General features: G+C 44.2%; 1 annotated feature.

The window, feature by feature from the left end:
* Positions 7266–7466: a silencer, noted in NCBI's record as "peak4276 fragment used in MPRA reporter construct". NCBI's record gives its function as "represses an SCP1 promoter by STARR-seq MPRAs in K562 erythroleukemia cells {active_cell/tissue: K562}" and the evidence as "EXISTENCE:reporter gene assay evidence [ECO:0000049][PMID:32103011]".

The following is a 13407-nucleotide window of genomic DNA, read 5'->3' as shown; positions in this document are numbered from 1 at the left end:
TTTTATTTTTTTGAGACAGAGTCTTGCCCTGTCACCCAGGCTGGAGTGCAGTGGCACAATCACAGCTCACTGCAACCTCTGCCTCCTGGGTTCAAGTGATTCTCCTGCCTCAGCCTCCCAAGTAGCTGGGATTACAGGTACCCACCACCATACCCAGCTAATTTTTGTATTTTTAGTAGAGATGAGATTTCACCATGTTGGCCAGGCTGGTCTTGAACTACTGACCTTAGGTGATCTGCCCACCTCAGCCTGCCAAAGTGCTGGGATTACAGGCATGAGCCACTGCGCCAGGCCAATAATATTGTTTTTAAGCTACCTAACTAAACTTCCATGTCTTGGGTTCTCTTTTGCACTAAGCATTGGACAGACATCATCTCTATTCCTCATCTAAAATCTCTGCTCAGAGGAAGCTTGACTTGGAGACAGGGTAGAGGTTTGCTATTTAGTCATTTGCTGTCAGGACGGAAGTCGTTAAAGTCAGGCAAGCTATAGTTCCAATCTTGAATCTGCCATCTAAAAGCCGAGTAACCTTGGGCTCATTATTTATACTGCCCAGGCCTCGGTTTCCCCATCTATAATAGGGATGATGATGCCTACTCCATCAGGTCCTACAGGGATCAGATGATATCATGTGTCTCCTGTGCCTGCTTCATAGCATGTTCTTGGTGTATGGTTGCTGTAATTATTGCTGTTGCTGTTACCATTATCCACACACCTTATAAGTCTTGGAACCAAACTATCAACCTAGGGCCATTTTAAGAGAGTAAGGAGCTTATGAGTTAAAGTTGGACTTGAACATCAGGGAGTGCAATCAGCAGAACAATGGCTCTCTAAAAATATCCACATCCTAATTCCCAAAACCTATGACTGTGTTCCCTTGCATGGCAAGAGGGAATTAAGATTGTAAACAGAATTAGCTTGACTCATCAGCTAACCTTAAAATAAGGAGTTCAGCTTGGATTATCCAAGTGGCCCAGTGTAATCTCATAGGTCCTTAAAAGTGGAAGAAGAAGACAGTCAAGTAGTCAGAAAGAAATGTGACTCTAGAAGAAAGGCACAGAGAGAGCCAACGCTGCTGGCTTTCAGTGGAGAAGAGGCCATGAGCCAAGGAATGTGGGCAGCCTCTAAGGCTGGAAAAGGCAAGGAAACAGATTCTCCTCTTGTACATCCAGAAGGAACTGGCAAAACCTTGATTTTAGCTGCATGAGACTTGTGTTGGACTTCTGACCTCTGGAACTGTAAGCTAATGCATTTGTGTTGTTTTAAGCCACTTAGTGCTTAAGGACATTTGTTATCCTTAAGCCATAGGAAACTGATACAATGAGAGAAGACTGAGAAGCTGGCTTCAGATCCATAAGGAAGTCAGAGGTCTTGACAACTTGCCTCATGCAGGCAGCTTTGTCTCACTGATCATCTAAAAATAAAAGTAGAGACAATCACTGCTTCTGCTTCTCCCCCTCCCCTGCAGTGTTGGGAGCCTGGGTGCTCACTCAGCAGATCCAGGCAAGGCTGCTGGAAGGATGTTCTCCCTGGCCAGGGACAAACAAGTGATTGCATTCAGATGGGCCCCAGCCACCAGCAGGGCCCAGCAGGTAGAAGATGTTCTAGGCTGGGCAGAGGGTGCTGTCGTTTTTTCGCAAGGCCAGGAAATGGCCTTCTAGACTGGCAATTGAAGGGCTCATGGAGTGATGGCTATTTTTTCCTTCACAAGAGAAGTCTGGTTAAAACAGGAAACGCCATTCGCAGTGGACAGACATCAGGGCACCATGCTTTCTCCGTTTCCTTCACAATCCAACTGGGCTCACCAAGGCCAGAATGGGGGCTGACACTTGGACACTGTCCATCTATGAAGGAATATTTTGTCACCTTTCAAGGGCAGCTGTTCCTCTCCCATTATCTAAAAGGAAGCATAATGTACATACAATAAAAGCACAGATCTTAAGTGTTCAGTTCTGAGTTTTGAGAATGATATACCCCCCTGTAATTAACATCCACCCAAAACAAGTAAGGGAATGTGTCCTTTAGCCCAGAAAGCACCATGGGCTGTTTGTTAAGCAATGCCAAGCCCCATGCCCCACCCCCCAGAGGCAATGACTAACCTGCTTTTGGTTGCTATAGATTAATCTTTCCTGTAATTTCATAGAAATGGAATAATTCAGACTGTGCTCCTTCATGTCTGTCTTCTTCCACTCTACGTGATTTTGAGATTCATTCATGTTGTTGCATGGACTGTCTGTTCCATTTTCTTACTGAATAATCATATTTCACTGTATAGATAGACCTCATTTTTAAAAAATCTATTTTGCAGCTGGATGCGGTGGCTCATGCCTATAATCCCAGCATTTTGGGAGGCCGAGGCGGGTGAATCACCTGAGGTCAGGAGTTTGAGACCAGCTTGGCCAACATGGCAAAGCCCTGTCTCTACTAAAAATACAAAAATTAGTCAGTCGGGGTGGCAGGCGCCTGTAGTCCCAGCTACTCAGGAGGCTGAGGCAGGAGAATTGCTTGAACCTGTGAGGCAGAGGTTGCAGTAAGCCAAGAGCATGCCACCGCACTCCAGCTTGGGCAAGAGAGCAAGACTCTGTCTCGAAAAAATAAAATAAAATAATTTTTAAAAAATCTATTTTGCTATTAATGCCATTTGGGTTGTTTCCGGTTTGTGGCTATTATGAATAAAGCTGCTACGCATATTCATGAATAAGTCTTTGTGTAGACACAGGTTTTCATTTCTCTTGGGTAATACGTAAGAGTAGAGTCTATAAGAAACTGCCAGACAGTTGTACACCCTTTAGCAATGAACCAGCCTTCTGGTTACTCTTCATCTTCACCAACATTTGTTTCCTTTTTTGTTTTTGTTTTTTCGCTCTTCTAATATGCATGAAATTGTATCTCATTGTGGTTTTAAATTGCACTTCGATGTCTTTTGCTCATTTTTAAAAGTTGTGTTTATCTTTGTATTATTATTTGTAGTTCTTTATATACTTTGGATACAAGTTATCACATATGCAAAATTTTCCCCCAATCTGTGGCTTGTCTACTTATTCTCCTAATACAGTTGACCCTTGAACAACACAGGTTTGAACTGTGTGGTTCCACTTATACGTAGATTTTTTTTAACCAACTGCAAATCGAAAATACAGTATTTTCAGGTTGCAAAACAGAGGGCTGACTTTTCATATACTCAGATTCCACAGAACCGACTGGGGAACTTGAGTATACATGGATTTTGGTACATGTGGCAGGTTCCAGATTGGTCTGTAGTATCTTTGGATGAACAAAGCTTAAAAATTTAATGTTGACCAATTTATTTATTTTATTTGATGGTTAGTGCTTTTTGTGTCCTAAGAAATCATTGCCTAACCCAAGCCTACGACAATATTATTCTATGTTTTCTTCTAGAATACTCTAAGTTTATATTTAGTTCTCTGATCTAACTCAAATTTATTTTTGTGTCTGGAGTTAGTATGAGAGAATGAACCAATACGATGACTATTTGTTAATTTCCTACCAATGGCCAGGCACCCTGGAGACGGCAGGATCACTGTCCCTGAGTTCAGGGTCCAGTGCAGGGTTCAGCAAACCTTTTCTCTAAAGGGCCACATGGTGAATATTTTAGGCTCTACAGGCCATACAGCCCCTGTTGCCACTACTCTATTCTGCCTTCTAAGGCAAAAGCAGCCATGGGCAGTACCTAAATATGTAAGCATGGCTGTGTTCCAATAAGAGTATTCATAAACAATGAAATTTGAATTTTATATAGTTTTTATATTTCACAAAATATTCTTTTTCTTTTTTTTTTTTTTAACCAGTTAAAAATATAAAAACCATCTTTAGGTTGTGGACTATACAAAAACAAGCAGCCACCAGGTTTCACCTGCAGCCCCAGGCCACAGTTTGCCAACTCCTGGGCTGCTCAGCAAGGCAAACGTTCAACAAACACGAGGCCACGCTGTGATACCAGCATGGAAGCAAAGAGTTGCGTTCTGTGGGTGAGAGGATGACAGGTAGTGGGTAATCTGCTTTGGATGAGATCAAAAGGAATTATAACTAAACCACAATGAGATACCAAAAATAATGAGTGTTGGTGAGGATGTAGAGAAATTGGAACCTTTGTCTATTGCTGGAGCAAATGTAAAATGATGCAGCCACTGAGGAAAACAAAAAAATTAAAGAGAATACCACATGACCCAGCAATTCCACTTGTAGGTATAAACCCAAATAATTAAAGGTATCAAACAGATACTTTTTTTTTTTTCTTTGAGACAGAGTCTCGCTCTGTTACCCAGGCTGGAGTGCAGTGGTGGGATCTCAGCTCACTGCAACCTCCGCCTCCCTGGTTCAAGCGATTCTCCTGCCTCAACCTCCCGAGTAGCTGGGATTACAGGTGCCCGCCATTATACCTGGCTAATTTTTGTATTTTTAGTAGACACAGGGCTTCACCATGTTGGTCAGGCTGGTCTGGAGCTCCCGACCTCAGGTAATCCGCCCACTTCAGCCCCACAAAGTGCTGGGTTTACAGGCGTGAGCCACAGCGCCCAACCAAACAGATACTTTTTTACAGCAATGCTCATAGCACATATTTGCAATAGCCAAAGGGTAGAAACAGCCACATTCCATCAACAGATAAATGCATAAACAGGTACGTGCATACAATGGAATATTACTCAGCCATAAGAAGCGTGGAATTCTGATCCATGCTATGACATAGATGAAACCTGAAAACATTATGCCAAGTGAAATAAACCAAACCCAAGAGAAAAATATTCTATGATTCCATTTTTATGAGGTACATAGAACAGACAAATTTACAGAGACAGAAAGTACAATAGAGGCTCGGGGACTGCTGGGGAGAATGGGGGGTTGTTATTTAAGGAGTACAGAGTTTCTGTTTGGGATGATGAAAAAGTGTTGGCAATGGATGGTGGTGTTGGTCATCCAACATTGGAAATGCATTGAATCCCATTGAGTTGTGCACTTTTTTTTTTTTTTTTTTTTTGAGACGGAGTCTCGCTTTGTCGCCAAGGCTGGAGTGCAGTGGCGCGATCTCGGCTCAGTGCAAGCTCCGCTTCCCGGGTTCACGCCATTCTCCTGCCTCAGCCTCCCTAGTAGCTGGGACTACAGGCGCCGCCACTGTGCCCGGCTAATTTTTTTGTATTTTTAGTAGAGACGGGGTTTCACCGTGGTCTCGATCTCCTGACCTTGTGATCTGCCCGCCTCGGCCTCCCAAAGTGCTGGGATTATAGGCGTGAGCCACCGCGCCCCGCCGAGTTGTGCACTTATTAATGGCTACAATGGTAAATTTTATGTTATGTATATTCTACCACAATAAAAATGTATTTAAAATTAAAATAAAAAAGGAATTAAAACTAAAGACCTCGCTATTGTCAACAACAAGAGTCAAACTCTGTGAAATTTTTTAAGAGATTTATTCTGAGCCAAATGTGAGTGACCATGACCCATGACAGCACCCTTGAGAGACCACGAGAACATATGCCCAAGGTGGACAGGGCACAGCTCGGCTTTTATATTCTAGGGGATATAAGACATCAAATACATGTAAGATATACATTGGTTCAGTCCAGAAAAATGGGACAACTTTAAGCGGGGTGAGGGGAAGGTGGTTCCAGGTTCTACCTATGATAATAACAAACCTATCTCTTAGTGTTATGAAGACTAAATGAATTAATATATGACACAGACTTAGTGCTGGAAAGGTAGATTTTGATATCTTGATAGGTAGATTTTTAAATTTTCTGACTGGCGGCCGGGCGCGATGGCTCACGCCTGTAATCCCAGCACTTTGGGAGGCCGAGGTGGGCGGAACACCTGAGGTCAGGAGTTCGAAACCAGCCTGGCCACCATGGTGAAATCCCGTCTCTACTAGAAGTCCAAAAATTAGCCGGATATGATGGCAGGCGCCTGTAATCCCAGCTACTCAGGAGGCTGAGGCAGGAGAATCGCTTGAACCTGGGAGGCGGAGGTTGAAGTGAGCCAAGATCGTGCCACAGCACTCCAGCCTGGGTGACAAGAGTGAGACTCTGTCTGAAAAATAAATAAATAAATAAACAAACAAATAAATAAATAAAAATTTTTAAAAATAGAATTTTCTGGTTGGCAATTGGTTGAAAAAGTTATTATCCATAGAAAGGAATATCTGGGCTACAATCAGCGGTTGCAGAGGCCAAAGTTTTCTCATGCAAATGAAGCCTCCAGGTAGCAGGCTTCAGAGAGAATAGATTGTAAATGTTTCTTATCAGACTTAAGGTCTATGTTGATGTTAAATGCTCATTGGCTTTCTTGAATTACAAAAGGGAGGAGGGCATAATGAGGCATGTCCAACCTCCCCCTCTTTCCTGTCATGGCCTGAACCAGCCTTTCAGGTTAAATTTGGAGTGCACTGGCTGAGGAAGGGGGTCCATCCAGATGGTGGGAAGGCAGGGAGGGCCTTCAAATTTTATTTTTGGTGAACACTCCGTGTCTTTCCAACACTAAGTCTATGCCATATATTAATTCATTTAGTCTTCACAACACTGTGAGATAGGTCTGTTATGATCGTTATACCCATTTTACATATGAAGAAACTGAGGCCTTAAGAGTTTTGATAACTTGCCCAAAGTTATATAGCTAGTGAGCCATAGAATCAGGATTCGAACCTGAGAAGTCTGGCTCCAGGGCTGTGCTTTCAGTTACCACGCTACACTGCCTCTAAAAGCAGTAGTGACTCTCCAGCTGGGCTAAACGCTAGAGCTCCCTGGGAGCACTTAAAAATCTCCAAATCCTTGCTGGACGCGGTGGCTCACGCCTGTAATCCCAGCACTTTCGGAGGCTGAGGCAAGCGGATCACGAGGTCAAGAGATCAAGACCATCCTGGCCAACATGCTGAAACCCCGTCTCTACTAAAAATACAAAAATTAACGGGGCGAGGTGGCGCATGCCTGTAATCCCAGCTACTTGGGAGGCTGAGGCAGGAGAATCGCTTGAAACCGGGAGGCAGAGGTTGCAGTGAGCTGAGATTGTGCCACTGCACTCCAGCCTGGCAACAGAGCAAGACTCCATCTCAAAAAAAAAAAAGTCCACATCCAGGCAGCACCTCTGGGGGTTGAACCAGCACCATTATTTGGAAAAGCTCCCCAGGTGTTTCAGTGTGCAGCCAAGGTTGGGAATAACTGCCTCAAAGGACAGCCTTCTCTCAGGAGATGACATTTCCACCGTGATCTCAAAAGTGACATGAGTCAGCCATGTGGGTGGGGGAGCGTGGTGGGGGGGAGAGAAGAATCATATATTCCGTGTATTTTATTCGTTACGTATTTTCATCAAACCACTTTTGTCTTTCTCTTATGTAAGAAGAATGGCATGCATCCTAATAGTAATAGTAGCTCATATTTATTCAGCAGTTATGCTGCAAGCATAATAGTGAACACTTGTCGTGTGTTATCACCATTAGCACGCATGTTGATCTTATGAAGTCAACACCATCATCCCATTTTACAGATGAAGCAACCAAGGCCTAAAATGAGTTAGCTCCTCGCCTGAGGCCACGCTGGTACTAAGTGGCAGAGTGAGGACACTCAGGTGTGTTAATAGCTCAGCTCTCTGGCTCCTCCTTTCCCAGTGAAGCTTGCCAAAGGCATCCCAGACAGGAGTGAGAAAGGAAATGACCTATCTACTTCTGGTTGGTTTGGTTTTATGCTGTTTCCTGCACTTGTTTGCCTGTGGTGGAGCCCCTCAGTGAACCCCACCTCTTAGTAGATTGAGTCAGAGCCTTGGTGCTCCTCTAACACCATAATGTTCAGAAAGGAGCTCTCAGAAGAGGCTAAGTAACGCCTCTGAATAATCTCAGTCTGGGGTGCAGAGGAGTCCTGAGGCTGGGAGAACATTTTTGGGGAAATTCAATGTATTCTCAGCTAGAAACCGATATGTAGGTTTACAAGGTTTCTAGTCTAGGGAGAAGGTAAGTGAATGTGTGTGTGTGTGTGTGTGTGTGTGTGTGTGTGTGTTCCTAGGTCTGGAGCATGTGGATCATGTCCACAACCTAGAACAAGCCCACCTGGGGAGAGAAGGTCACCTTGGAGAACACGATATTGTAGGAGAGTCCCTTGACTTTTTCTTCCCAATTTAGAAAGCCCAAGGCCACGTTTTGCTTGTTCATCACTCTGACCTTAGAGCAGTGTCTGGAAGGTAGTTGCTCATTAAAATTTGTGGAGCAAGTGAATAGACACAATGGGATAAGAGCAGGGGAGTTGACTCTGTCTAGGAGGTTGTGGAGGGCTCCCCTACAGAGGCAGCAGCCAGCTGAACAGGTATTAACTAAAGAAAAGCCGGAAGGAAAGAATGCTCCAGGGAGCACAAAGTTCCTGTTCCAAGGTCAAATTGATCTTTCCTCTGATTCTTTGTCACTCATAACTGGCAAGGAAACTGAGGCTCAAAGAAGCTTAGTGACCTTGCCAATTATCACATAGTAGAAAACACCAGAGATTGGATTTGAACTTGGACTCCCAGACTGCTCTCCCAGGGCACTTTTTTTTTTGAGATAGAGTCTCGCTCTCACCCAGGCTGGAGTGCAGTGGTGCAATCTTGGCACAATTGCTTCCCAGGTTCAAGTGACTCTCGCGCCCTAGCCTCCCAAGTAGCTGGGGTTACAAGCATGTGCCACCATGCCTGGGTAATTTTTCTTTTTTTATTATTTTTTGTAGAGAAGGGGTTTCACCATGATGGCGAGGCTGGTCTCAAACTCCTGACCTCAAGTGATCTGCCCGCCTCGGCCTCCCAAAGTGCTGGGATTATAGGCATGAGCCACCACACCCGGCATCCCAGTGCACTTCTGTTGCACATTAGCAAATAGACAACGGGGATAATAAGAGTGAATAACTTATATTTCATGGTGACCCAAGGACCCCAACTATCATCACCAATAATACAAATCATATAACAGTATCAACCACATTTATTAGGAACTTACTATATGCCAGGCACTAGTGTGTGTGTGTGTGTTTGAAATGCATATATATCTTCAATTAATCGCCACTAAAAAGCCTAAGGAATGGATGCTATTACCATCCCTATTTTATAGTTGTGTAAATAAGGTCCAGATGGATTAAGTAACAAGCTTTGACAAATGGTATCATATCAAGTTACAAGACTTTTGCACAGCAAAGGAAACAATCAACATAGTGAAGAGACAGCCCACAGAATGGGAGAAAATATTTGCAAACTACCCATCTGACAAGGGATTAATAATCAGAAAATAAAAGAAACTTAAATAACTCTGTAGGAAAAAAATCTGGCCTGGTGAGGTGGCTCACGCCTTTGATCTCAGCACTTTGGGAGGCTGAGGCAGGTGAATCACTTGAGGTCAGGAGTTCAAGACCAGCCTGGGAAACATGGTGAAACCCCATCTCAAGAAAAAATTAGCTGGGCATGGTGGCATGTGCTTGTGCTTGTGGTCTCAGCTACTTGGGAGGTGGGAAGATCGCCTGAGCCCAGGAGGTTGAGGCTGCAGTGAGCCATGATTGAGTCACCACACTCCAGCCTCTGTGACAGAGTAAGACCCTGTCTAAAAAAAATAAAAAATATAAAGATATAATAACCCACTCAAAATGGACAAAAGGTTTGACTAGATATTCCTTAAAAGAAGACATACAAATAGCAAATAGGCATATGAAAAGGTGCTTAACATCACTGATCATCAGAGAAATGAAAATCAAAACTGCAATGAGATCTCAACTCAACCCAGTTAAAATGGCTTATATTCAAAAGACAGGCAATAACAAATTCCGGCAAGGATGTAGAGAAACGGGATCCCGCATACACTGTTGGTGGAAATGCACCTTAGTACAACCATTATGGAGAACAGTTTGGAGGTTCCTCAAAAAACTAAAAATAGAGCTACCATATGACCCAGCAATCCCACTGCTGGGTATATGTCCAAAAGAATGCACATCAGAACATCAAAGAGGTATCTGCACTCCTATGTTTGTTGCAGCAGTGTTCACAATAGCCAAGATTTGGAAGCAACCTAAGTGTCCATCAGCAGATGAATGGATCAAGAAAATTTGGTACATATACTCAATGGAGTACTATTCAGCCATAAAAAAGAATGAGATCCTGTTATTTGCAACGATGTGGATGGAATTGGAGGTCATCATATTAACTGAAATAAGCCAGACACAGGAAGACGAAAATCACACATTCTCACTTATTTGTGAGATCTAATAATCAAAATAGTTGAACTCATGGAGATAAGAGAAGGATGGTTTCCAGAAGCTGGAAGTGTGGGGTTGGGTGGCAGGGGAGAGGGGATGGGGTGGTGTGGTAGGGTGGGGGAAGGTGGGGATGGCTAATGTGTACAAAGAACAAAGAAAGTTAGAAAGAATGGATAAGACCTAGTATATGATAACACAACAGGGTGACTATAGTCAATAATAGTTAAACTGTACATTTCAAAATAACTAAAAAAGTATAACTGGATTGTTTGTAACACAAAGGACAAATGCTTGAGGAGATGGATACTCCATTTTTCATAATGTGATTATTACACATTGCATGCCTATATCAAAACATCTAATGCACACCATAAGTATATACACCTACCATAGACCTACGAACATGAAAAATTGTAATTATATATATATATATACACACACACACACATATGTAACAAGCCTCAGTTTACACAGCTGACAAGGTGCAGAGCAAAAGTTCAAACTCAGGAGCATCATGGAGCTCAGCCACTGTTCTCCTGGCGGGCCAGACATTTCAGTTCCTGGCATTGGATAAACTGACTTTTGGATGTCACCCAGTCAATGATAATAATTATTATTATTATATCTTGCTTTTTGAATTATTAGATCTTGCTTTTCTGAGGGATTTTTACTTTTCTGTTGCAAGAGAACTTTCACAGTCATTTGACAAACCCTACTTTTCAAAACCAGGCGTTTTAATATCATGTCTCAGGTAACGGAAATTTTTTTAGTCACAGGCTGTGAAAAAGTAATCAGTAGATAGCCACACAGAGAATGAACAGGACTTGCAGAGTAGATTCTTATCAGCTTGGGGCCAACACCCCTTCTGCACATCCCTAGGCCCACAGGGGCCTAGTCAGGAGGCTGGGAGGAAAGGCATCTTCCCCCAGAAGAAAGCCCAGCTCCTAAAACTCCTGGCCTGTCTCTGCCCCTTCCCCACTCCATGCTGCAAGAGGAGTGATTGATCTGGCTGGTAGATTGGGGAAGAAGAAAGCGGCTGAGCTGCCACCTGCTCCTTGTATATTTGGGTAGGAGGGAGTTGCCCATGGATCTTGTGTTCTCTGTTCCTGTTGGAGTTGGAGGGGTTGCCTAATTCTGGTCAGTGCTGGCAAGCCCTGTGGCCCACACATATTTATAGACTTTTCAGCAATAAAGGTGATATTTTGACTTTTTTTTTTTTTTTTTTTTCTGAGATAGAGTCTCACTCTGTCTGCCAGGCTGGAGTGCAGTGGCACGATCTCGGCTCACCGCAAGCTCCGCCTCCCAGTTTCACGCCATTCTCCTGCTTCTGAGTAGCTGGGACTGCAGGCACCCGCCACCACGCCTAGCTAAATTTTTTTGTATTTTTTTTAGTAAACACGGGGTTTCACCGTGTTAGCCAGGATGGCCTTGATCTCCTGACCTCGTGATCCACCCACCTCGGCCTCCCAAAGTGCTGGAATTAAAGGCGTGAACCACCACACCCAGGCTTTTTTTTTTTTTTTTTTTTTGTGATGGCGAGTCTTTCTGTGTCACCCAGGCTGGAGTGCAGTGGTGCGATCTTGGCTCGCTGCAACCTCCGTCTCCTGGGTTCAAGCAGTTCTCCTGTCTCACCCTCCCAAGTAGCTGGGATTACAGGCACACGCCACCATGCCCCAGCTAATTTTTGTATTTGTGGTAGAGACCTGGTTGGTCAGGCTGGTCTTGAGCTCCTGACCTCAGGTGATCCACCTGCCTCGGCCTCCCAAAGTGCTGGGATTACAGGCGTCAGCCACCGTGCCAGGCCCACATTTTGGCTTATTCTTCTATCTTATGGCTCAGCTGCTTAAGAAGCCAGGCAGGGAAGAAAGGGCTATTCGTTGGACCTCCTCAAAAAGCCCAGCAGAAGGAAGTCTTCTTTTAGGCAGCTTCGGTGAAGGGAGCAATTGTTAAACAGTGAGGATGTGTTTTTCTTTTCTATTCATTTATTTGCCCCACCATTGGCTGGCTAAGCACCTACTACGTGCCTGGTACCGTACCAGGCACCTTCTGAATAAAGATGAGCTCTCAAAAGTGGGAGCAAAAGACAGAATCGAGACTGAATTAGGTTTCACTTCCAGCCTTTCTACAGGAGGTGACCACGAGGAAGGAAGAGTAATGGCTGGGTTTGAAAAGCCCAGCATTCATTTCGGGTTCTTTGGGTTACACAGCGACTTGAGCGGATTATCTACCCTCACAAACCATTGTCAGCCATCTCAGCAGAGTGTTAATGAAGACAGCCTGTTCTCCCTCAGCCAAGGAATGAGTCCATGGCCAAGGCAAATCATCAAACTCTAATTGCAGGGATGGAGAATCTTTACCAGAGTGACATGGAGTAGAAAACAGAATTGCAGCTCACCCCTTCCAGCAGAAAGTTCTCAAGAAGCATTTCTGTTCCCTAGAAATGTGGGACTTTTGACAAAAACATCTAGAAGAATAATAAACAAAACAACAGCCAAGGTTTATTAAGCTTGTTGTTGCTTCACACAACCATCCTGGGAGCTAGGCCTTAGCTCATGTCTGTCTGTCTGTCTGTCTGTCTCTCTCTCTCTCTCCCCACCCCCCTACTCCTCCTCTCTTCTTCCTCTCTGCCTCTGTATTTCTTTGTTTCTTAGGACTCCTTTCTCCACCTGTGAGTTACTCAACATCCATGTATTAAACTTTTTTAGCACAAGATTTGTTTTGTTTTGTTCTGTTTTGAGACGGAGTCTCGCCCTGTCACCCAGGCTGGAGTGCAGTGGCGCGATCTCAGCTCACTGCAACCTCCGCCTCCTGGGTTCAAGCGATTCTTGTGCCTCAGCCTCCTGAGTAGCTGGGACTACAGGCGCGCACCACCACACCCAGCTAATTTTGGTATTTTTAGTAGAGATGGGGTTTCACCATGTTGGTCAGGCTGGTCTCAAACTCCTGACCTCAGGTGATCCACCCTCCTCCACCTCCTAAAGTGCTGGGATTACAGTCGTGAGCCCCAGCGCCCAGCCAAGTTTTAGGTTAAGATAGAGTTGGTTCCCTCTACAAGAGAAAACACCAATCCCACCCTCTGCACAGCTACTGTAGAATGCTGGGTGCAATTGCAATGCCTTCATGTAACAGCTGGGGAAATTGAAACTGACAGGAGACCTTCACGTTTAGGGCCAGGGAGGCCTTGTGGCTCAATGGTTAAGAGCAC

Source organism: Homo sapiens, chromosome 20, assembly GCF_000001405.40.
Source record: "Homo sapiens chromosome 20, GRCh38.p14 Primary Assembly".
In the NCBI taxonomy this organism is placed as follows: Eukaryota; Metazoa; Chordata; class Mammalia; order Primates; family Hominidae; genus Homo; species Homo sapiens.
The sequence above is the reverse complement of the archived record's forward strand: the minus strand, read 5'-3'. Positions and strand labels throughout refer to the sequence as shown.